At 51.1% G+C, this 25024-nt stretch overlaps 2 protein-coding genes across 6 annotated transcripts in view, besides 2 other annotated features; both read right to left on the bottom strand.

Annotated features, from left to right (window-relative positions):
* ZAN (zonadhesin) overlaps nucleotides 1-1421 on the bottom strand; it is a 64203-nt gene extending 62782 nt beyond the window's left edge. For all 5 annotated transcript variants that reach the window (NR_111917.2, NR_111918.2, NR_111919.2 and 2 more), the window contains exons 1-2: nucleotides 1368-1421; nucleotides 795-989 (exon numbers count right to left, since the gene is read on the bottom strand). Coding sequence is in view for 2 of the 5 variants with exons in the window: in NM_173059.3 (NP_775082.2) it covers nucleotides 795-847 (53 nt within the window). In the remaining 3 variants the exon portion in view is untranslated. The remainder of the gene's footprint in view (nucleotides 1-794; nucleotides 990-1367) is intronic.
* Nucleotides 9620-9799: an enhancer, noted in NCBI's record as "active region_26383". NCBI's record gives its function as "activates an Ori minimal core promoter by ATAC-STARR-seq in GM12878 lymphoblastoid cells {active_cell/tissue: GM12878}" and the evidence as "EXISTENCE:reporter gene assay evidence [ECO:0000049][PMID:35858748]".
* Nucleotides 9951-10185: a silencer, noted in NCBI's record as "fragment chr7:100322454-100322688 (GRCh37/hg19 assembly coordinates)". NCBI's record gives its function as "represses an EF-1alpha promoter that drives an FKBP-Casp9 reporter gene in an ReSE screen in HepG2 liver carcinoma cells and phorbol 12-myristate 13-acetate-treated (for megakaryocytic differentiation) K562 erythroleukemia cells {active_cell/tissue: HepG2 | K562(+PMA)}" and the evidence as "EXISTENCE:reporter gene assay evidence [ECO:0000049][PMID:32094911]".
* On the bottom strand, nucleotides 11316-14548 carry EPO (erythropoietin). The gene is made up of 5 exons (NM_000799.4): nucleotides 14023-14548; nucleotides 13313-13458; nucleotides 12968-13054; nucleotides 12173-12352; nucleotides 11316-12038 (listed from the first exon to the last, which is right to left on the bottom strand). The coding sequence occupies exons 1-5, from the start codon at nucleotides 14033-14035 to the stop codon at nucleotides 11883-11885; spliced, it is 582 nt and encodes a 193-aa protein (NP_000790.2). The 5' UTR covers nucleotides 14036-14548; the 3' UTR covers nucleotides 11316-11882.

The raw sequence follows: 25024 nt of genomic DNA, 5'->3' as shown, positions 1-25024 counted from the left end.
ACAGGGTTTCACCATGTTGGTCAGGCTGGTCTCAACACCTGACCTCAGGTGATCCGCCCGCCTCGGCCTCCCAAAGTGCTGGGATTACAGGGGTGAGCCGCCGCGCTTGGCCTGTCATCCGTCATTTCTTTGCTGCCTCGTACTTAAGTCTCTCTCATCAGCTGGGTCCACCCTGGGTCTTGTCCGTTTCCTGAGGGCCTGACCCCTCAATCCTTCTCTCCTAGGCTTAGATCTGTCTTCCAGCTCTGCACCTCCTCCGTCCCTTCTCACATTGTAGCCCTGTCCCGCTCCCAGAACCCGCCCCTTAATTCCTGTTCAGCAGTCAAGGTCAACCCATTTCCATCCCACCGGGTTTCCCCCTTCCTCTCAAGGTCTTTTTTTTTGTTTTTTTTTTTTTGAGACGGAGTCTCGCTCTGTCATCCAGGCTGGAGTGCAATGGCATGATCTCAGCTCACTGCAAACTCCGCCTCCCAGGTTCAAGCGATTCTCCTGCCTCAGCCTCCTGGGTAGCTGGGACTACAGGTGCACACCACCACGCCTGGCTAATTTTTTGTATTTTTAGTAGAGACGAGGTTTCACCATGTTGGCCAGGATGGTCTCGATCTCCTGACCTCGTGATCTGCCCACCTCAGCCTCCCAAAGTGCTGGGATTACAGGCGTGAGCCACCGTGCCTGGCCTCTCTCCAGATCTTTTGTAGTTAGCCTGCTCGCCCCCTCCAGCTCTGTCCTTCCATATTCCTTACAGCCACCCTCAGCTGACCCTGGTTTATCATTACCCCCTGGGCCCAGCTTACCTGAAAAGGGCAGCCCCCACCAGAAGCAGCAGAGTCCAGACTGGAGGAACCATGAGGACCCTAAGTGGTTGCTCCCAGGGGAGAGGGGAAGGGCACAGTTGGGAGCCTGGACTCCTTTTATTCCCCCCTGGCCTCCTTAGCTTGGCATCCTTCCAAGGATGCCATGAAGAATGAACAGAGAAACACAGAAAAGCTCTGGGAAATTAAAATTATGAGAGTTGAAAGTTACCATCCAGTAGAAGCATCGTAGATTGAAATCGAGGGAAATAAACTAGAGAGAAGAGAAAAAAAAAGAGAAAGAAACAAAAAGGAAACAGGTTTGGAGGATCAATCCAGGAAGTCTAACCTCAAACGAAAGGAGTTCAAAAAGAGAGAACAAAGGAAAAGAAATTATTATTTTAAAAAGAAAAACGCACAAGAAAATATCCAGAACTGAAATATACAAGTCTCTAGATTAAAAAGGTGTCCAGGGTGATGAAAGCATAGAGACCCATGGAAGCACTGGACTTCAGACTATCAGGGGTGAAGAGAAGATCTGAAACACTTTCAGATAGAAAATAACAAGTCATATACCAAGGATCAGAAATCAACATGGCATCCAGCTTTTCAATAGCAACCATGGAGTCTAAGAGCCAGTGGAACATTGTCTGCAGAATTCCAACAGAAAACCATTTCAAACCTAAAATTCTATAACTGGCAACAGTGGCAACTGGAGAGTTAGGTGAAGGAAGGACTGCAAACGGCTGGACGTGGTGGCTCACACCTGTAATCCCAGCATTTGGGAGGCCAAGGCGGGTGGATCACTTGAGGTCAGGAGTTCGAGACCAGCCTGGCCAACATGGCAAAACCCCATCTCTACTAAAAATACAAAAAATTAGCTAGGGGTGGTGGCACATGCTCATAATCCCAGCTACTCAGGAGGCTGAGGCGCAAGAATCACTTGAACTTGGTAGGCGGAGGTTGTAGTGAGCCGAGATCGCGAGACTCCAAGTCAAAAAAAAAAGAAAAAAAGGACTGCAAATGCCTACTGGCAAATCACGGAGAAAGATAAGTCACAGAGGAAGAGATACAAACAGGCAGCAAACATTTGAAAAGCTGTTCTGCTTCACTAGTAATAAGGGAAATGCTAATCAAAACTATGACTCTTATATTGACCAAAAAAAAATTTTTTTTTCTTTTTTTTGAGACAGGGCCTCGTTCTGTCACCCAGGCTGGAGCGCAGCAGCATGACTTGGCTCATTACAGCCTCAAACCCCCGGGGTCAGGTGATCTTCCCATCTTAGCCTCTGGAGTAGCTGGGACTACCAGTGCATGCCACCAAGCCCAGCTAATTTTTGTATATTTTGCAGAAATGGGGTTTTGCCATGTCTCCCGGGCTGGTCTTAAACTCCTGGGCTCAAGCAGTCTGCCTGCCTTGGCCTTCCAAAGTGCTGGAATTACAGGCATGAGCCACTGTGCCCAGCCGACAAAAATTTGAAAGATTGGTAGTACGGAGTATTGGACAGGATGCAGGTAGATACGAACTCAGTGATGATAAGACTGTAGGTTGGTGGCCAGGTGCAGTGGCTCATGCTGGTAATCCCAAGTGCTTTTTGGAGGCCGAGATGGTAGGACCGCTTGAGGCTAGAGACCAGCCTGGGCAAAACAGTGAGACCCTGTCTCTACAAAAAATTTAAAAATTAACCAAGCATGGCAGTATGTGCCTGTAGGTCCCAGCTGGTTGTGAGGTTGAGGCGGGAGGACTTACGCGTTCAAGGCTGCAGTGAGCTATGATCAAGCCACTGTACTCCAGCCAGAGCAACAGAGCGAGACCCTGTCTCAAAACAAAACAAAAAAAGAATGTTGGTGAAAACTTTTTTTTTTTTTTTGAGACAGCGTCTCACTCTGTTGCCCAGGCTGGAGTGCAGTGGTGCCGTCACAGCTTACTGCAGTCTCAACCTCCCAGGCTCAAGCAGTTCTCCCACCTCAGCCTCCCGGGGTGTCTGGGATTACAGGCACAAGCCACCATGCCTAGCTAATTTCTGTTTGTTTTTTTTGCTTGCTTGTATTGTAGAGATAGGGTCTCACTATGTTGCCCAGGCTGGTCTCAAACTCCTGGGCTCCAGTGATCCGCTTGCCTCAGCCTCCCAAAGTGCTGAGATTACAAACATGAGCCACTGTGCCCAGCCGGTGAAAACTTCTTAGAAGGCATTTGTTTTTTGGTTTGTTTGTTTGTTTTGGGGGAGGAGTCAACCCAGCCTAGAGAGCAATGGCACAATCTCAGCTCACTGCAAACCTCCACCTCCCGAGTTCAAGCAATTCTCTTGCCTCAGCCTCCCAAGTAGCTGGGATTAACAGGCATGTGCCATCACACCCGGCTAATTTTGTATTTTTAGTGGAGATGGGGTTCCATCATGTTGGTCAGGCTGGTCTCGAACTTCTGACCTCAGGTGATCCACCCACCTTGGCCTCCCATAGTGTTGGGATTACAGGTGTGAGCCACAGTGCCTGGCCAGAAAACTTCTTAGAAGGCATTTGACAATGACTGTTGAACTTTCAAATGTGCATATCTTTGACCTAACATTTCTAGGAAACTTGCTACAGAAATACATGCACTTTGCACAAATTTGCGGATACCCAAAGATATTAATTGCAACATTGTTTACAATAGGAAAAGTTATGATAAATATTTATCAGTAGGTATGTAATTGGATCATATTAAGAAATGGCCGGAGGCCGGGCACGGTGGCTCATGCCTGTAATCCCAGCACTTTGGGAAGCCGAGGTTGACAGATCACTTGAGGTCAGGAGTTCAAGACTAGCCTAACTAACATGGTGAAACTCCATCTCTACTAAATACAAAAAATTAGTTGGGCATGGTGGTGCATGCCTGTACTCCCAGCTACTCGGGAGGCTGAGGCAGGAGAATTGCTTGAACCTGGGAGGCAGAGGTTGCAGTGAGCCAAGATCGCGCCATTGCACTCCAGCCTGGGCAACAAGAGCAAAAATCTGTCTCAAAAAGAAAAGAAAAGAAAAGAAAAGAAAAGAAAAGAAAAGAAAAGAAAAGAAATGGCCGGGCGCGGTGGCTTGTGCCTGTAATCCCAGAACTTTGGGAGGCCAAGGTAGGAGGATTGCTTGAGCCCAGGAGTTCGAGACCAGCTTGGGCAACATAGCGAGAACCCACCCTCTACACAAAAAATACAAAAATTATCTAAGCATGGTGGTGCACACCTGTAGTTCCAGTTACAAAGAAGGCTGAGGCGGGAGGGTCGCCTGAGCCCAGGAGTTCAAGGCTGCAGTGAGCTATGATTGTACCATTGCACTCCAGCCTGGGCAACACAAGGAGACTCTGTTTCTAAAAAGAAATAAATAAAAGAAAAAGAAAGCCCTTTTGCAATCCCCAGGACCGCTTCTGCCCAAATGAGGCTGAAGAGCCTCGCCATGGAATGCCAACAGAGCTCAGGCAGGGATCACATCTGAGGACTGAGAGCACCCCCCTGCCTGTTTATGTCAGACCTGGGGATATCAATGGTGTCCATCCCAAGCCCTTGTCCACCCTTCCTCCATACCAGGTTAGCAGAGGAATTAACAGAGGGGCCAGGGCCAGGAAATGGTTAACCCAGGGAAGAGGAGCAGAAGACATTGATCATAGCCACTCCCTGTTGGGCAATAAGTCCCCTGGTAGCTGCTTTAGCTGACCTCCCTTTGGGACCACAGAGCTGGGGGTCACAGCTCCCAATCCGTCTGGAAGTGGGGGTGGGGGGCTCACGGCAGGACAGGAAAGTGGGGGAGGACCCTTGGGCCCTGTATTTTAGGGAGCCAGGAACCAGCAACGCCCCAGAGACTGGCAACCTTGACAAGACTGGCAGCTGTGGGAACAGGTGTGAGAGACCTTGGGCTGTGGAAAAGCCCTTGAGAGAACTGGAGCCCAGTCCTAAATTTGCTGTGTGTCTTTGGGAACTTTTCTCACCCTCTCTGTGTCTTAGTTCCTTCCTCTGTAAGATTGGGGAGGAGGCTCAATCAGTACAGCCAAGATTTTTTTAAAGCCAGAAATCTATGATGTTGGCTGGGTGCAGTGGCTCACACCTATAATCCCAACACTTTGGGAGGCCAAGGTGGGCAGATCACCTGAGGCCAGGAGTTCAAGATCAGCCTGGCCAACATGGTGAAACCCCGTATGTACTAAAAATACAAAATTAGCTGGGCATGGTGGTGCGCACCTGTAGTCCCAGCTACTCAGGAGGCTGAGGCAGGAGAATCTCTTGAACCCAGGAGGGGTAGGTTGCAGTGAGCCGAGATCGCACCACTGCACTCCAGCCTGGGTGACAGAGTGAGACTCTGTCTCAAAAAATAATAATAATAATAATAATAAAAGAAAGAAATTTATGTGTGGCAGTCACTTTTTTTTTTGAGACAGTGTCTTGCTCTATCACCCAGGTTAGAGTTCAGTGGCTCAATCATAGCTCACTACAACCTCAGCCTCCCAAGTAGTTGGAACTACAGTCTATTTTTTAGTAGCCCAGCAAATTTTTTATAGAAACAGGGATCTCACTATGTTGACTAGGCTGGTCTCAAACTACCAGCCTCAAGTGATCCTCTCACCTTGGCCTCCCACAGTGCTGGTATTACAAGTGTACATCACCGCGCCCGGTCACGTAATTTTTTTTTTATCTTGTTTTGCCCTTGTTGCCCAGGCTGGAGTGCAATGGTACGATCTTGGCTCACTGCAACCTCCGCCTCCCAGGTTCAAGCAATTCTCCTGCCTCAACCTTCCAACTAGCTGGGATTACAGGCATGCACCACCACACCCAGCTAATTTTTTATTTTTAGTAGAGACGGGATTTCACCATGTTGGTCAGGCTGGTCTCGAACTCCTGACCTCAGGTGATCCGCCCACCTTGGCCCCCCAAAGTGTTGGGATTACAGGCGTGAACCACTGGCCATTTTTAATAATCAATTTTCTTAAATAAAGAAGGGAGTTTAGAGACATTTGGCCATGACTCCCATAAATTGAGAAACTATACTATCGTCTATTTATTTGTTGCCAACAATCCTTCACAATGCCACAGTTTTATGATGGAATTTTAGTAGAATTAACTTTCACCATCTTCAAATAATATTATTAGCCTTCAGCTTAGATTCCAGTGTCTAAAAGACCCTGTTTAGCTAATGCAACTCCAGCAACAAACCCTACTGTGGTAAGATCACCTACTGAACTACAGTTCAGTAGTTCCAGCAGAACCCTAGGTGACTGGCCAGGCACAGTGGCTCACGCCTGTAATCCCAGCACTTTGGGAGGTTGAGGCAGGTGGATCACCTGAGGTCGGGGTTCGAGACCAGCCTGACCAACACGGAGAAACCCTGTCTGTACTAAAAATACAAAATTAACCAGGTGTGGTGGCACATGCCTGTAATCCCAGCTACTCAGGAGGCTGAGGCAGGAGAATCATTTGAACCCGGGAGGCAAAGTTTGCAGTGAGCTGAGATCGCGCCATTGCACTCCAGCCTGGGCAACAAGAGCGAAACCCCATCTCAAAGAAAAAAAAAAAGAATCCTAGGTGACCTGTGAACTAGGGACAGGTCTTTGTTCAGCCTGATGCTTGGGCCCAGAGGGAGGATTTGAGTCAGTGAGTACCCAAGAGCGAGAGGCTGCAGTTAAGATGGAGAGCTGGGGCTGCAGGAGGTGGCTGAGTTGGCTCCTAGCGCAGTACTCAGAGCAGGGAGTTGGGAAGAAGGGAAGTTGGTAGGTACTTTCTGCCTATGCAGGGAAGAAGCAGGATCCCAAGGCAGGGGATTGAATGGGAAGGAGTCGGTCGTGGAAGATGGACACGCCTTGCTGACCACAGCTGTCTCATTCACTCCATCTCTTCTCTTTCCTCTCCCTGGTGATCCTGGGTCAGAGAGAAAAGGGACTCTCTCTCTCTCTCTTTTTTTTTTCTTTTTGAGACGGAGTCTCGCTCTTGTTGCTCAAGATGGAGTGCAGTGACTCGATCTCTCAGCTCACTGCAACCTCTGCCTCCCAGGTTCAAGCAATCCTCGTGCCTCTGCCTCCCAAGTAGCTGGGATTACAGGCATGCACCACCACACCTGGCTAATGTTTGTAATTTTAGTAGAGATGGGGTTTCACCATGTTGGCCAGGCTGGTCTCAAATTCCTGACCTCAAGTGATCCACCCACCTTGGCCTCCCAAAGTGCAGGGATTACAGACTTGAGCTACCACACCCGGACTTTTTTTTTTTCTCTCTTTTGAGCCAGGGTCTTGCTCTGTCACCCTGGCTGGAGTGCAGCGCTGCAATCATAGCTCAATGCAGTCTCAAATCCCTGGGTTCAAGTGATCCCTCCTGCTTCTGCTGGGCCTACAGGTGCACACCATCATGCCCCACTGCTTTAAAATTTTTTTTAGAGACAGGGTCTCCCTATGTTTCTGGGGCCAGTCTGGAACTCTTGTGCTCAAGCCCTCCTCCTGCCTCAGTCTCCCAAAGTGCTGGGATTACTAGTATGAGCCACTTCGTCCAGCCCCATCTCCGTGTTTTATGACCTGGGCAAGGCCCATAATCTCTTTGGGCCTCAGTTTCCTCCTCTGCAAAATGGGGACCCTCCATCATCCCTGCCTTCCTCTTGGCGTTAGGAGAGCAAATGAAAAGCATGCCAGGAAATCACATGCTTTTCATGTAAATAGCCAAGCTCTCTACAAACAGAAGGCATCATCTTTAAACAATTATGTAACCCCTTGACTCAGAACTAGGCTTTGCTGGCTCCTGTCCCCACCAGAAAGTCAAAAGTGTTGGCTCTGTCACTTTCCAGCAGAACTTAGTTCCCCATCTGACAAATGGGGATGATACTCATTGTATTCCTGCTTCGTGGAGTTCGGGTGAGAATCGCAGCATGCAGATGCCACAGATTGAATGTGTTGTTAATTATAACCATGATCACAGTTCAGAGGAAAGTTCCTTTCCTGGCCTGCACTCGAAGAACCTCTGAAATCTGGCAACACCCTCCTTGGGAATCTGCCTCTCAGCACAGACTCTGGGCCTCGCTTAGTTCTTCTAAATCCTGTGGTTCTTCCCTTCCCCGGCCTCTTGGCATTGCACAGCTTAGCACTCAGTCCCATACCAAAATGACTACGTCTGAATTAATGTGCGTCAAGGCCAGGTGCAGTGGCTCATGCATGTAATCCCAGCATTTTGGGAGACTGATGAGTGGATCACCTGAGATCAGGAGTTCGAGACCAGGCTGGCCAACATGGAGAAACCCCATCTCTACCAAAAAACAAAACAAAAACAAACAAACAAAAAAACACAAACACACACACACAAACTAGCCGGGTGTGGTGGCATGTGCCTGTAATCCCAGCTACTCGGGAGGCTGAGGCACAAGAATTGCTTGAACCCAGGAGGTGGAGGTTGCAGTGAGCTGAGATTGTGCCACTGCCCTCCAGCCTGGGTGACACAACAAGACCCTGTCTCAAAAAATAAATAAATAAAATAAAATGAATTAATGTGTGCCTTTTTTTGCCCCCAGGAGGCTGCCCACTGGCCACTGGGCTATGAGTGTCATTTCATGTCTCCTAGCACTTAGTGCAAAGGCTTGGTTCACAGTAGCCATTCTATAAACTTGGAATAAATGTTTTAAATGTTTCTAACGTACTTGCCTCTCACATCCATCCCAGGAGTGGTCAGACAGTTCAGGTTTGATAACTACTCTTTTTGTGGGGGAGGGGATGGGATCTTGCTCTGTCACCCAGGCTAGAATGCAGTGGTGTGATCACAGCTCACTGCAGCCTCAACCTCCCAGGCTTGAGTGATTCTCCCACCTCAGCCTCCTGAGTAGCTGGCACTACAGCTGCATGCCACCACATCCAGCTAATGTTTAAATTTTTTTGTAGAGATGGGGGTCTCACTATGTTGCCCAGGGTGGTCTCAAACTCCTGAGCTCAAGGGATCCTCCCACCTCAGCCTCCCAAAGTGCTGGGATTACAGGCGTGAGCCACAACATCTGGTTGAAAATTACTATTTTTTTATTATATTTTAGAAACTGAAAGCAGTGAGAAGTCTGAAGACAGTTGTGGAATAAGATCAGTGACCCTGAATCCTGCAGACGGAGAGGAGGGAGGCAAAAGCGGGTTGCTCATTGATGAGATGTTTGAGCCTTAGACTACAAATCAGGCTAAGAGGTGGACAGCCTTTGGGATTAGGAGTCCTAAATCCTGTGCTCAGGTTCTAGCTCAGTCTCTTATTAGCCAGATTCCTTCGGCTTAAGAACAAGCCTCTTAGCTCCGATGTCAGCAGCCTAAGAGGGAGATTTCTCCTTTACTGACTCACAGCATTCCTGGTGCAAGAATCAAATGCCATCTGTGGAAACCACAATATAAATGTGTATTGAAATGTACAAGGTCACAGCCGGGCGCGGTGGCTCACGCCTGTAAACCCAACACTTTGGGAGGCCGAGGTGGGCGGATCCTCTGAGCTCAGGAGTTTGAGACCAGCCTGGTCGACCTGGTGAAACTCCATCTCTACTAAAAATACAAAAAATTAGCCAGGTGTGTTAGCAGGCGTCTGTAGTCCCAGCTACTCGGGAGGCTGAGGCAGGAGAATCGCTTGAACCCGGGAGGCGGAGGTTGCAGTGAGCCGAGATCGCGCCACTGCACTCCAGCCTGAGTGACAGAGTGAGACTCCATTGAAAAAAAAGAAAAGAAAAGAAAAGAAAAGAAATGTACAAGGTCAGAGCCCTAAGGATCTATCGCTTGTAGGTTTCTCTAGCAGTTCCTAGTAAGACCTGAAGAGGGCACTGTAGCCCACGAGCCGGTTAGAACAGAGGGAAAATTCTCTTGGGTCCTCCCCTTTGGCGACTCCTCGCATCCCAGCTCCACACCTACCGCCCCGCTCCCTACACACCTGTCAAGTACCCTCCAACCTCCAAAACCTTCCCGTAATTTTTCCTGCTGCGGATTGCAAAACATTCTCTCCCGTTTGCATATGTGCAGGGGAACACAGGCTGACTTCTCTACAGTTGATGATACAAGCAGAAAGACCGGCCCTCACATATGGGATAACAACCAGGATCGGGGTCCCATACAGTTGTTTTTGTTTGTTTGTTTTTGTTTTGTTTTTGAGACAGAGTTTCGCTCTTGTCGCCCAGGCTGGAGTCCAGTGGCACGACCTCGGCTCACTGCAACCTCCGCCTCCCAGGTTCAGTGATTCTCCTGCCTCAGCCTCCAGAATAGCTGGGATTACAGGAGCCCACCACCACACCCGGCTAATTTTTTGTATTTTTAGTAGACATGGGGTTTCACCACGTTGGCCAGGCTGGTCTCAAACACCTGACCTCAGATGATCCACCCACCTCAGCCTCCCAAAGTGCTGGGATTACAGGCATGAGCCACCGTGCCTGGCCTCCCATACAGTTTTATGACAGCTTTTGCTGTCTGCACAGGTCCCTCCTCAGTGGTCCTTTCCCGCTGAAGCATTATTTTTGAGAAGGAATCTGAAGTTGTGGTCAGAGTAAAGGGGAAAATGAGAAGTAGAAATCAAGAGTGGAAGTAGAGTTCATTTGTTCCATGTCCCCCACCCCAGGGGAGTAAAGGAGCAGGTAGGGATTAGGTAGAAGGAATAAACCAGGCGCAATGGCTCACACCTATAATCCCAGCACTTTGGGAGGCTAAGGAGGGAGGATCACTTGAACCCAGAGTTTGAGACCAGCCTGGGCAACATAGCAAGACCCCATCTCTAAAAAAAATAAGATAAAAATAATTTAAAAATTAGCAGGGCATGGCGATGCATGCCTTTAGTCACATCTACTCATGAGGCTGGGACTAGAGGATTGCTTGAGCCCAGGAGTTTGAGGCTGCAGTGACCCATGATTGCACCACTGCACTCCAGCCTGGGCAACAGAGCAAGACACTGTCACTAAAAACAAACAAACAAACAAAATCACAAATATATAAATGGACCACCTAGAGTGGCCCTTGTCCCCGAGCAGATGCTGTTTATAGAGGTGGCTCCAACCGCACCTGTGTGTACCGCCCCTTTTGTGAATTTCAGAGGCGAGTATTCATGGTGACAGTCCCCAGGTGAGTAAAGGAGGCAGCTGGACTTAGCGAGGATGTGCATTGAGGCGGAAGGCTGATGCTGGGAGTGTGGCATCAGCCGAAGAGACCAAAGAAGAGGCAGAAATTAACAAGGGCCAGTGACCAGGGTTGGCAGCTGTTACCAGCCCCCAAAACTCCCAAAAGGACCCGTCCTCTGGCCTCCCTCTCCTTGATGACAATCTCAGCGCACTGCAGCCTTGCCCTGGGCAGGGTTGGCAGCTGCCTTACTGCGGTGAGGCCTTGAATGGAGCCACCTTATTGACCAGCGTAGGCAGAGCTTGTGGCCTCAGGCCCGGTAGGGTCGAGAGGTCAGACAGGCTGTGTGAGACAGCACGTAGGGCCCAGCCCCCTCCACCCCTCGTTTCCCGGACCTGGACCTGCTGCACTGCTGCCAGGAGTGGGACAGAGCCAGGGGATTTGGAGGTTCCCAGAAAACAGAAAAGCCAAGAGTCATATTGGTGGTTTCAGTTCTTGTCAATGAGGTTGAAGAATACACAAAACTTGGACCCCATGAGAGCCAGAGGCCAGCCCCCATCCTGTCTTCATGGTTCCCACCACCCCGGTGTCAAGGGGGCTCTTGCCACCAAGGGAGTGCCCATGCCCGTGAGACCTGGAGAAGTCACAGCTTGCCACCTAAGTTATCCAGGTCATCCTGTCCCTGATGGTAGGTGCGAAAACAGGTAAATCGCCTCCAAAGCGTGTCCTGGCATCAAATTTTGCAGGGTGCCGAGTGAGCTCAGGCGTCTTCCCAGCATGGCTCTGTCCCTGAGTTTAAAGCTGCTCTCTGAATGCTTCCTGCTCTGGGCCCTCAAGTTGGCCCTGTGACATCCTTAGATCTCAGAGTTGCTCTCTGGACAGTTCCTCTGGCCCCTGAGATGTCATTGCTGGCACTGGAGTGTCCATGGGACAGGCTGGCGCTGAGCTGAGAGCCCCTCGACGGGGTTCAGGAGTGGCGGGGGAGGGTGTGGCACAAGCAATGTTGGTGAGGGAGGTGGTGGATATGCCCAGGTGGACACACCTGGTCATCTGTCCCCTGTCCTGCAGGCCTCCCCTGTGTACAGCTTCAGCTTTCCCCGGAGGAAATTGGAGTAGACTCGGAAGAGTTTGCGGAAAGTGTCAGCAGTGATTGTTCGGAGTGGAGCAGCTGAGGCCGCATCTGGAGGGGAGATGGCTTCCTTCTGCCAAGGAGAAAACAGGAGGTCGCTGCAGTGCCACAGAAAGGGAAGGAATACGGACAGTTCCTGTACTCCTTAGCAAGACCCTTCTCCCCTTCTTACAGAAAGGGCAAGCAGAAGTGTCCGCTCCTACTCACCTGGGCTCCCAGAGCCCGAAGCAGAGTGGTGAGGCTGCGAAGGCCACTGACGGCTTTATCCACATGCAGCTGCAGGGGCTCCCACGGCTGGGAAGAGTTGACCAACAGGGCCTGGCCCCGCAGGACAGCTTCCGACAGCAGGGCCAGGCCCTGCCAGACTTCTACGGCCTGCTGCCCGACCTACAGGGAGTGGACTCTGGGAGTCAGCTGACCCATGTCACCCTCTCCCTCCTGCCCCTCAGCAGCCCCAAGCACCAAGCTGAGCAAACAGAAGGTATGCAATAAGACTTGTTGAATGAATGAATGAATGAATGAGTGAGTGAGTGAGTGAGTGAATGAATAATGAATGTATTCCATACAGCCCTCATTATTTTTCTTTTTTCTTTTCTTTTTTGAGACAGGGCCTCACTCTGTCACTGAGGCTGGAGTGCAGTGGTGTGATCACAGCTCACTGCAGCCTCAAATTCCTGGGCTCAAGCGATCCTCCCGCCTCAGCCTTCCAAATATCTGGGACTACCACCATGCACCACCTCACCTGACTAATTTTTTTAAATGTTTGTAGAGATGGGGGATCTCACTATGCTGCCTAGGTTGGTCTGAAACTCCAGGGCTCAAGCAATTCTCCCATCTCGGCCATCTCAGCCTGGGATTATAGACGTGAGCCTCTGCGCCCAGGCAGCCTCATCTCTGCTGCTCCATTTTACCTTTCCCTCGATCATTCTCCCTTTCATCCAAAATCAGGCTCGCAAATGAGATTCTCCAAAAGAAAGGAAAAAAAAAAAAAAAGGAACTCACCTCCATCCTCTTCCAGGCATAGAAATTAACTTTGGTGTCTGGGACAGTGATATTCTCATTCAAGCTGCAGTGTTCAGCACAGCCCGTCTGAAATGCACACAGCCCGGGGAGTCAAGGGTCCCTGAAGGCTCTGGCCCTGGCCCACAGGCCGTAGGATCTGCTGGCTTTGCTCCTTGCCTAGTTTCCAGGTATGGTTTGGGGCCACCAGACTTATTCTTATGTAGGGGGGCAGTGTCTAGCTTCCCAACTCCACCCCAAACCAAGTGCCAGGTTCCTGGATCTGGGAGGAGTTCCCTGAAGCCCTGAGCGTGAGTTCTGTGGAATGTGCTGGGGAAGGGGTCTCACCGTGATATTCTCGGCCTCCTTGGCCTCCAAGAGGTACCTCTCCAGGACTCGGCTGTCACAGATGAGGCGTGGTGGGGCGCCCAGGACTGGGAGGCCCAGAGGGAGCGACAGCAGGGACAGGAGAAGCCACAGCCAGGCAGGACATTCTAGAACAGATAGCCAGGCTGAGAGTCAGGCGGGGAGGGAGAAGGGTGGCTGTGGAAGGACAGCTTCCTTCATCCCCACGTCTCTGCCCCAGCTCGTCCTTCCTGTCCCCAACCATGCAAGCACTCAGGTGCTGCCTCCCTGGCCTTCATTCAATCCTGCTGCCGTGTGCACACCCCACCCCCAGCTACCAGCATCCACTTCTCCGGCCAAACTTCAATCCTGGTGTGACAGAGGCTTCCCCTCTGGCAGATAAGTGGTGGCTCCAGCGCCCAGGTTATCAGCTTATCAGCTTCCTCTCCACTGGCACAGCAGAACCCCCAAACCTTCTTCCCCTCAACCCCCAAACTGTGTCCCCTTCACAGGTCAGGTTTTTGCCATCCCCAAGGACTCCCCCAAGTCCCCGCTGGCACGTGGAGGCTGCCCCACCCCCCTCCCCCTTCCGGGGTCCTTGACAAGTCGCCGGTCCTTGAACCCAGCCACCTCCTGGCCAATAGCCGGGGCGCTAAATCCCCGCTCAAACAGGGACCCGGGCGGGCGGGAGCGCCCAGCCCGCGAGTACTCACCGTGCACCCCCATCTCCGCGCCTGGCCGGGGTCCCTCAGCGACCTGGGGCGCGCCGGGTGACCACACCGGGGGCCCTCATCCCGGGAAGCTCGGCGGTGCAGGGCCAGCCCCACGGGCCTGGAGGAGAGGGCGGCTGTCCAGGGGGCGCGGTGTCGGAGCAGAGCGGGCGCGGTGGCCCCGGTCCGGCTCCGGGAGGACAGCGCGGTGCGGCGCAGCGCAGCGAGCGGCCGGGGTGGCCCAGGGACTCTGCGGCTCTGGCCGGGGGTCGGGGCTGTTATCTGCATGTGTGCGTGCGCGGGTGGGGGTGGGGGAGAGGCTGTGTGCGTGAGGGGTCGCCAGGGGTAGGGGCCACCCGGGGTCAGAGCAGGGGCAGGACGCCTGGGTTGAGGCTCGCCGGGGCGTGAGCGGGGCTGCTGCAGACGTGCGTGTGGGTCATGGGGGCTGCTCCCGGGCCCTGGGTCGCGGGAGGGGAGTGCAGCCGGTTGCGCACCCTTGGGACTGGCGGAGCGTGCTATCTGGGAAAGGCTGGGCTCCCGGACACCTCCCCTGGGGGGCATCCCGGTCTTGGGCGGAGACTCAGAGATGCCTGGGTTGCTGAGTTCCGCAAAGTAGCTGGGTCTGGAAGCCCAGAAGCTTTAGGGAGGGGCAAATGAGTGGTCTCCCTTCCCACAATCCCAGGACATGTTCTAGAAACAATGTTGACCATGTTGAGGAATTTGATGGGGGCAAATAGGGCAAGAAATTTGGGGTTCTTCCTCCCCACCTCACTCCTCACCGTCTAGTACTCTGCAAACCCAGACACTTAACTTTTTTTTTTTTTTCTGGAGATGTAGCCTCCCTATGTTGCCCAGGCAGTGCAGTGGTGCCATCTCCCGTTCACTACAACCTCTGCCTCCTGGGTTCAAGCAATTCTCCTGCTTCAGCCTCTGGAGCAGCTGGGACTACAGGCACACCTTTACACCCGGCTATGTTTTGTATTTTTAGTAGAGATGGGGTGTTGCCATATTGCCCATACCGGTCTTGAACTCCTGACCTCAGGTGATCCACCCTCCTCGGCCTCTCAAAGTGCTGGGATTGCAGGCGTGAGCCACCGCACCCAGCCCCCACCCCAGACACTTAACTTTTAGTGCACAGAGCACACAGTCCATTGTGCAGGACACACATGCACCTTGACATCTGTTTATTTGACCTGTGGTGTAGGTTAGCTAGGCTGCATTGCTGAGTTCTTAAGAACACTGAAATACAGCTAACACCAAGAGTGATGGGGGCTGGGATTTACAGCTAAGGTTTTATGGCTTCTGGAAACCCTGAGCCAGAGGAGTGAGATTCCCAGAGCAGGAGACCAAGACTAGCTGGTCTCTCACACCTTAGAAAGTGGCCTCGTCCTTGAGCCCTCAATGTCCTCATCTGTCAAATGGGTGTGGTGAAACTACCAGCCTATCCCATTCAGGTTTCATAAAAGACAGGAAAGGTCCAGGCGCCGCAGCTGACACCTATAATCCCAGCACTTTGGGAGACCAAGGCAGGAAGATCCTTTGAGCCCAGGAGTTCGAGACCAGCCCGGACAACATGGCAAGACCTTGTCTCTAAAATAAATAAATAAATAAAAAATAATTAGTCAGGTGTGGTGGCTCACGCCTGTAGTCCCAAATATGCAGGAGGCTAAGGCAGGAGGATCACCTGAGCCCAGGAGTTCGAGGCCGTAGTGAGCCATGATCGTGCCACTGCACTGCAGCCTGGGCGACAGAGTGAGAGCCTGTCTCAAAAACAAAAAAAGACTGGAATGTGTAGATCTGAGCTGTAAGAGTTAGCCGGGAGAAATCAAGAAAGATTTGAGGGAGGAGGTGACAATGACCTCAGCCTTGAAGGGGGGTAGGACATCAATGGGAAGAGGTATGAGGTGGGTGGGGGATTGTCGATTCAGCAAAGTGAATGGAGAGTCAGGTGAGTATTGCGGGATCTGGCCAGCAGCCCGCAATGCAACAGGGCTCTCTCTTTGTTCCCAGGCGGATCAGCAGGTTGAGAAATAATAGACACACACAAGATAGTGAAAGCTGGTCCGGGGGGTCACCGCCTTCTGGTCCCGTGGTGTCAACAATGCACCAGATGTACCATCATTTATTATTAAGTTTAGTGAGGGCGGGGGTAGGTTAGTGAGGGATTTAGGGTCATTTGATTATGAGGTGAGATGGTCACATGGGGATGAATTAATTCTTTAACATAACATTTATATGTAGAAGTACAGTACATTTGTATGCAGAAGTACAGTATACAGAGATAAGAATTTACAATATAGTGTGTGCATCAGTAATTTCTAACAGAGCCTTAAAACAGAAACACAATCTTTCCATAACCTATGATTAGCAAGATACTAATCAGCAGTAACAATTGCAACAAAAGCTGGTTACAGACAATCCATGGAAACAGGACATGAAGCTAGACAACCAGTTAGACCAGAAATTCTCAGAAGGGAGTATGCCTTAACCCTAAAGAGGCCTAGAAGAGCCATGGCAAGATGAGGGCGTTTATAGCCCTATCTTATCCATATGGACAGGTGCCCCCCGCCCCCATGCGTCCGTTTATAGGCTCTCCACAAGGGTCGCATTCCATTCCCAGAGCTATGAACATCTGCTTTTCTGGGATAGAAATCTTGGTGATGTGAAACCTCCCTGACTGCAGGTCCGTTCATAGGCTCTCCGCAGGCGGAAGCACATCACAGGCTGTTGGCTCATTCTGGCAGTCCAACCTGGCATTGTTTGTACACAATCCTGCATGCAATTTTGTATTTACAATAATCAGGAGCATTTCATCTTTTATTCCGTAGCAGTAGTTTCAGGGGGTCTCCCTACAGGTGAGCAGAAGGGAAGATGGAGAAGAGAGAGGTGGAAGATGAGGCCAGGGTGCTGCTTAGGGAGGAGTCAGGCTGTCTATGGCCTTGAATGCCTCTCTGAAGAATTTGGATTTTGTTTGGAAAGAGTGGGAAACATTCACTCATTCATTCAAAAGATATTTATGGATTTCCTACCTACCCCTGGCCAAGGACCTGGGGATAGAGCAGTGAATGATACAGCCAGGAATGCCTGCCCTGGTGGAGCTGATGTTCTAGTGGGGTTGCCAATGATGAACACAAAAATGGGTACAAGACAGAGGATTTTGGCTGGGTGAGGTGGCTCATGCCTGTAATCCCAGCACTTCGGGAGGCCAAGGCAAGAGGATCACTTGAGCCCAGGAGTTGGCTTGACCAGCCTGGGCAACATGGTGAAACCCCATCTTTACAAAAAAATACAAAAATTAGCTGGGCATGATGGCATGTGCCTATAGTCCCAGCTACTTGGGAGGCTGAGGTGGGAGGATCACTTCAGCCCAGGAAGTTGAGGCTGCAGTGAGCTGTGGTTTTGCTACTGCACTCCACCCTGGGCAACAGAATGAGACCCTGTCTCAAAAAAAAAAAAAAAAAAGAAAGAAAAGAAAAGAAAAGATAGAGGATTTCAAATAGCCAGAACTAAGGAGAAAAGGCACAGGCAGGGTTATCTAAAATAAGGTAGTCAGAGACACTAGGCTGAGAAACTGACTTGAATAAAGACCTGTTGGGGGTGAGGGACCATGAGGGTGTGGTGAGGTGAAGAGCTTGATGGGAGGGGGATTTGGGCCAAGTGTAGTGGCTCACACCTGTAATCCCAACATTTTGGGAGGCTGAGGCAGGAGGATTGCTTGAGGCCAGGAGTTTGAGACCAGCCTGGGCAACATAGTGAGATCCCATGTCTATAATTTTTATTTTTGTTTAGCTAGCTGGGCATGGTGGTGCACATCTGTAGTCCCAGCTACTCAGGAGGCTGAGGTCAGAGGATCTCTTGAGCCCGGGAGGTTGAGGCTGCAGTGAGCTATGATCACGCCACTGCACTCTAGACTGGGCAACAAAGGGAGACCCTGTCTCAAAAAAAAAAAAGAAAAAATGAGTGGTTTGGCAAGATGGTTGGGTGGGGGTCAGGAGACAGAGGCTGGTATGCTTCTGGCTGGCCTAATTCCCTCAGACCCTGCTCCCCTGCATCCTCTGCTCACCTTGAGCCTTCCCAAAACTGCTGTCCAGGCTCCCCCAGCCCCACTCGGCTCCTGGTTCTGATCCCTTCCAGAGTCCTGGGACGTGCACCATCACACTCACATCCACACATGGCCGCACGTGCGTTCTGTCTTGGCTGCTCCCCTTCCCCAGCCTCTGCTCTCCCAGGACCCTGACTCCTGCGTCAATGCCCTGACCTAACCATGGAGAGGGGGCCGGAGACAGATGGGTGGGGTGGACACAGCTGGAGGAGGAGGAGCCTTTTGGGCTGTGGGACCTGCCCCTCCCCTCACACAGCTTCTCGGGGGTCCCTGCATCCTTGTCTGCAGTTGAAGAGGAGTGAGAGATGGGCCAGGGGCACCAGCCTCTAAATGCTGTAGCCTGCTGGATAGGAGTAGTGACTGCCTTGTCCCCTGGGGCTTCTGGAGAGAGAGCTGTGATTGCAGCTTGGGAGGGAGGAGAGGATCTTGGTCCACCCCATACCCAATCCGAAGCCATAGTAATTCTCTTTTTGAGATGGAGTCTCACTCTATTGCCCAGGCTGGAGTGCAGTGGTGCCATTATCTCAGCTCACTGCAACCTCCACCTCCCGGGTTCAAGCAATTCTCCTGCCTCAGCCTCCCGAGTAGCTGGAATTACAGGCATGTGCCACCACGCCCGGTAATTTTTGTATTTTCAGTAGAGATGGGGTTTCGCCATGTTGGCCAGGCTGGTCTCGAACTCCCAACCTCAAGTGATCCGCCCGCCTCGGCCTCCCAAAGTGCTGGGATTACAGGCGTGAGCCACCACACCCGGCTTGAAGCCATAGTAATTCTGCTAAGAGGGGAGAGGCTGGTTTGGAGCCCAGAGCCTCTTGGATACTGAGCAATGCAGGGTCCATTCATCTGTCCTTGAGGAACAGGAAGAAAACAAGAAGCTCCATGGGGCTCCCCGACCAATGCCCACCATCCCCCTGCCCAGTGCCCCCCACCCCCGTCATCTGCCTGCTCTTCATCTTCTAGCAGATGCTGACCCACAGGCCCAGGACCACTGCAGAGCATCTCCTCATTGACCCCTCCAGTTAATCCCTAACCCTGCTGCTCAATTAACTTTCCCACTGAACAGCCTCATTTGTGCTAATTCCCTGAGCAGGAACCTGTCACGGCTTCCTATTGCCTCAGAACTGAGACCCTCCAAGGTCTACCATTCACTTCATGTTCCAGGCTGTTCTCCCGCTTTGCTCACTCCCACTCCCTCCACCACAGGAGATGGTTTGTGCCTTCCTGCCCTTGGCTCATCCTGGATTACCCTCCCACACCATCTCCTCGTTTTCTTTAAAGCCCAAATCTGTGCATCGCCTCCTCCATGAAGCCTTTCTTGATCTCCCAGCAGGAAATCGTCTCCTTCCCTGGCACTGCCGTCATTTATGTACATGTCTTAGGCATCTCACTGGCAGGACCGCCATGGACAGCCGTCAAAGATGAGCACTGCCCAACTCCCAGGGGCATCCATAGAGACTCTGAAGGGAATGGTACCGTCTGGAGTCACGTAGTGCAGGTGCCCTAGTCATCGAAGAGAGCGAAGGGCTGCGTATGGAAGTTCTGATGCATTTTTCTGTCTACCAAGCGTCCAGCATGTCCCTTTTCTGTGGTAACCACCCAAGTGTGGATTGCATTATGTGGTCCCTCCACTACATGCTCAGAGAAGAACCCAACCTAGAGGGGGCACTGAGCCATCCCCCGGTCAACCCAGCTCCCTGGGATCCTGGGGCGTGTGAAGCTTCCATGCACTTCCTGAGCAGGCAGCCACTGAGGCAGGGTTTGAAAAGGGCCAGTTGTGACAGGAGGATGGCGGGTGTGGAGGCAGGCTCTGCTCCACGGATTCCTCCTGGCAGTGGATTCAGATTGGAAATCCAAGCAGAAGCAAATTTACAGCCCCCCGAGCTGTCCCAGACCCCCAGGCAGCACGGAGCCCCAGCTGCCTGGAGTCGGACTTGGGAAGGGGGGCCTCCTGGCTTCTCTTTCCCTCCTCATTTCCAAGCAGTGGCTTCTCAGCTCAGCTCGAGTTCAGCCAGAGGCCCAGAAGACCTTCTGTGCTGGGAGGGGAGGTGGCTGGGGACCTTGTTGGGTGGCCTTTGGGGAACTGTGAAGGAAGCAAGAATGCTGGAGGGCCAGGCACGGTAGCTCACGCCTGGAATCCCAGCACTTTAGGAGGCTAAGGAGGGAGGATCCCTTGAGCCCAGGAGTTTGAGACCAGTCTGGGCAACATAGGGAGACCCTGTCTCTACAGAAAATTTGTTAGGCATGCTGGCACATGCCTGTAGTCCCAGCTACTCGGGAGGCTGAGGTTGGAGGATTGCTTGAGCCCAGGAGTTGGAAGCTGCAGTTAGCTATGATCGCACCACTGCACTCCAGCCTGGGCGAAAGAACAACACCCTTTCTTAAAAAAAAAAAAAGATGCTGAAGAAGGGATTCCTGCTGGAGAACCAAAGGAAAATCCTTTGCCAAAGTCCTCAAAGGAAAATCCTTTACCGCACCTGGCCTACCAAAGTTTTATGAAGCCTATTCCTGACTGATCCTTTGTTCTCTAAGTAAGGTGATCAAGGAGTTAGTTATCAAACTGATGAGGGGCCGGGTGAGGTGGCTCACACCTATAATTTCAGCACTTTGGAAAGCTAAGGTGATCATTTGAGGCCAGGAGTTCAAGACCAGCCGGGGCAACACAGTGAGACCCTGGCTCTATAAAAAATAAAGAAGTTATTTTTTATAGAGTTATATTTTTTATATAAAAAATAAAGAAGTTAGCCAGGCATGGCGGCACATGCCTGGTGTCACAGCTACTTGGGAGGCTGAGGAAGGATGATCATTTGAACCTAGGAGGTCGAGGTTGCAGTGAGCTATGATCATGCCACTGCACTCGAGCCTGGGGAACTGAGCAAGACCCATCTCTAAATAAGTAAAAATAAAACTGATGAGATACCTCAAGAAGTTATTTTATTGCCCGTTCCACTAACTAATAAATATCTGATGAATGAATGGGTCAGTGGATACATGGATGATGCAGAGGAGAATGGCTTGCTGTCTCCTCTATAACAAGCCTCTGCTCCCTTAAGAAAAGGCAACCGTCTTGTCACTTGAAGAATGCAAACAGAGGGTGGACTTTCGCCTTCACAGGACCTGCTAGATTCCTTCCAACTCAGTCTATTAGTCTTGTTTGCTATTAGACAAATATACTTCCCTGAAAAGGGAAAAATTATTTGCTGGTTGATGAACTAAGACACGAGCAGAAGAGCTCACTTAGGCCGGGCACGGTGGCTCACGCCTGTAATCCCAGCACTTTGGGGGCTGAGACGGGCGGATCACGAGGTCAGGAGTTCAAGACCAGCCTGGCCAATATGGTGAAACCCCATCTCTGCTAAAAATACAAAAATTAGCTGGGCATGGTGGCGCACACCTATAGTCCCAGCTACTCAGGAGGCTGAGGCAGAAGAATCACTTGAACTCGAGAGGCGGAGGTTGCGGTGAGCCAAGATTGTGCCACTGGACTCCAGCCTGGGCGACAGAGCCAGACTCTGTCTCAAAAAAAAAAAAAAAGCAACTTTTATGATGAACTTTTGCTCATTACAAAAACAATACGTGACCAAAATTAGAAAACAGCGCTAAACTCAAACACATAAACTGAAAAACACCCATAATGTCATTAGGGTCTTGGGACCTTAAGTGGCCATTTTCACAGGCTTCCTTCTGGTAGGATGACCTTTGCCTCATCCCAAATCTCTGTGCAATTGGACATCTGTTTCCTAAGGAACTACAATTGACACGTTCTCGTCCAACCTCTCTAGTGGTTTGAGGGTTTGTGAAACACCATTTTTCCCTCAACTCCTGACCAAGCACCAGAAACTCACCTGGGACAAAGTGCTGGGCTTCTCTAGCAGGATCATCAGCCTGATCAAACCACTTAATATTTCAAGGTCCCGTCCCCTTCCCTGCTATGCGAGCCACAACTGAGTCTGGCTCAGTTGTTAGTTTCTACTAATAACTCAGACTTGAGAATTAAACGCACACAAAATTGCCTTCCTTCACTTCTCCCCATTCCTATTAAGAAGCCTAAAACCATTTCTTAGCAAAATGGCTTCATACTAAACAATACTAGCTCTTGGCCGGGCGCAGTGGCTCACGCCTGTAATCTCAGAACTTTGGGAGGCTGAGGCAGGCGGATCACCTGAGGTCACGAGTTCGAGACCAGCCTGGCAAACACGGAGAAACCCTGCCTCTACTAAAAATACAAAAAGTAGCCGGGCTTGGTGGAACGTGCCTGTAATCCCAGCTACTCAGGAGGCTGAGGCAGGAGAATCAGTTGAATCCAGGAGGCGGAGGTTGCAGTGAGCTGAGATCACGCCATTGCATTCCAGCCTGGGCAACAAGAGCACAACTCCGTCTCAAAACAAACAGATAAACAAACAAAGAAAACAATAGTAGCTCTTTTTTTTTTTTTTTTGCCTGTAGTCCTAACTACCTGGGAGGCTGAGGCAGGATTGCTTGAGCCTAGAAGTTTGAGGTTGCAGTGAGCTATGATTGTACCATTGCACTCCAGCCTAGGCTACAGAGTGAGACCCTGTCTCTAAAATAAATAAATAAATAAATAAAATGTAAAAAGGAGGGCAGGGCATTGCATTTGCACACACCTTCTGCCTCCATCTCCTCACCCCTCTCCCGTTTTTCAAGCTTTTTTCTTTTTGAGACTGAGTCTCCCTCTGTCACCCAGGCTGGAGTGCAATGGCACAATCTTGGTGCACTGCAACCTCCACCTCCCGGGTTCAAGCAGTTCTCCTGCCTCAGCCTCCTGAGTAGCTGGGATTACAGGCGCCTGCCACCACGCCCAGCTAATTTTGTATTTTCAGTAGAGACGGGGTTTCACCATGTTGGCCAGGCTGGTCTTGAACTCCTAACCTCAGGTGATCTGCCTGCCTGGGCCTCCCAAAGTGCTGGGATTACAAAGAGACGTGGCTCACTGTTTCTGGCCTCCCAAGCTTTGATGGAAGTCACTTTGGAGAGCCAGTAGAGGGAGGAGAACAGAGGCTGGAGCTAGCCTCCCTACGGTCGGGCCTGCAGGCAGGGTTCCCTGCCCCACCTGCCCTGCATGGACTCTAGTAGATGCAGGAGCCTGGTTCACGCCCCCCCACACACAAAAGAGTGAGCCCCAGGCCCCACTCTTCCTTCAGTGGCAATGTGGAGGTCTGTTTCTGCAGAACTGCCACTGAGGGAAGCCCCACTGGCAAGCAGTGAGAAAACATGGAGTAGAAACAACAAACAAATAGGCTGCAGGAGGGAACTGCCAAAACAAACCAGATGGGAAAGGCTGCCTGCCACCACCTCTGCTGGGCTCAGGCCCGGAGCACATACGTGCAGGGAGACACAGCTCCATCCAGCTTCCTGCCGGCTCCCCGCTCGGCTACTGGGGGGCTCCCGGGCAAGGAAGCCTTGCAGTCAGGCTGATGGAAAGGATGTGGCCTGATAGAAATGTCCGCAGCCAGCCAGGTACGGTGGCTCACGCCTGTTATCCCAGCACTTTGGGAGGCCGTAGGCGGGCAGATCACGAGGTCAGGAGATCGAGACCATCCTGGCCAACATGGTGAAACCCCGTCTTTACTAAAAATACAAAAATTAGCTGGGTGTGGTGGTGCGCACCTGTAATCCCAGCTACTCAGCTACTTGGGAGGCTGAGGCAGGAGAATCGCTTGAACCAGGGAGTCGGAGGTTGCAGTGAGCGAAGATCACGCCACTGCACTCCAGCCTGGCGATAGAGACTCTGTCTCAAAAAAAAAAAAAAAAAAAAGAAATGTCTGCAGCCTTGTCTCCCAGTACCTCTTGCTTTCTAGCCACCTCGAGTCCCTCCAGTCCCAGAACGTAGCTGCCTATTCATTAATCCCCTCCCTGCCCACTGTTTTTTGAGACAGGTTCTTGCTGTTTCACAAGCCCTCAGTCACGGCTTACTGCAGCCTCAACCTCTTGGGCTCAAGCAATCCTCCCACCTCAGCCTCCTGAGTAGCTGGACCACAGGTGCACACCGCCAAGCCCAGTTAATTTTTAAATTTTTGATAGAGACAAAGTCTTACTCTATTGCCCAGGCTGGTCTCAAACTCCTGAGCTCTAGCAATTTTCTCTCTTCGGCCTTCCAAAGTGCTGGGATTACAGGCATGGCCACCATTCCCAGCCAAATCCACCCATCTCCCCGCCCCACTGTGATCTCTCTGCCAAATATGCCATCTCCCTTCTTTTCTGCCTGGCAAACTCCTATACATCCTTCAACACCCAGATCAAAGGTGAGTGAAACCATTTTGGGTCCCACCAGGAAGTTATTAGCCCTTTCCATCTCCACATTTCCTTATCATTGCTACTCTTATGTCTCACACATCTTACTCATTCACAAAAAATTATGTGTCCACCTTCCCAATTAGATGGCGAGCTCCTTGAACATAGGGACCATTTCATACGCAGATGCCAGAGGAAGGGATTTTGATGAATTAGAAGACTGATCTTCAGACCTCCAAACCAAACTACCTTCCTTGAATTAGAGTGAAATTCTGTTCCTAACCTGTAAATCAGAGGCTCTTAAACTCTTATGACCTCAAACGGTAAAAAACACAATGTACATCCTATTATAGTACATATATATATATATATATATATACACACATGCCTAACTGAAAAATTTGCTGGCCAGGCCTAGTGGCTCACACCTGTAATCCCGGCATTTTGGGAGGCTGAGGTGGGTGGATCACCTGAGGTCAGGAGTTTGAAATCAGCCTGGACAACATGGCGAAACCCCATCTCTACTAAAAATACAAAAATTAGCCAGGCGTGGTGGCACACGCCTATAATTCCAGCTACTCAGGAGGCTGAGACAGGAGAATCGCTTGAACCTGGGAGGCAGAGGTTGCAGTGAGCCAAGATTGTGCTACTGAA

Source organism: Homo sapiens, chromosome 7 (genome assembly GCF_000001405.40).
Source record: "Homo sapiens chromosome 7, GRCh38.p14 Primary Assembly".
Lineage (NCBI taxonomy): Eukaryota > Metazoa > Chordata > Mammalia > Primates > Hominidae > Homo > Homo sapiens.
This window is presented reverse-complemented; position numbering and strand designations above follow the sequence as displayed.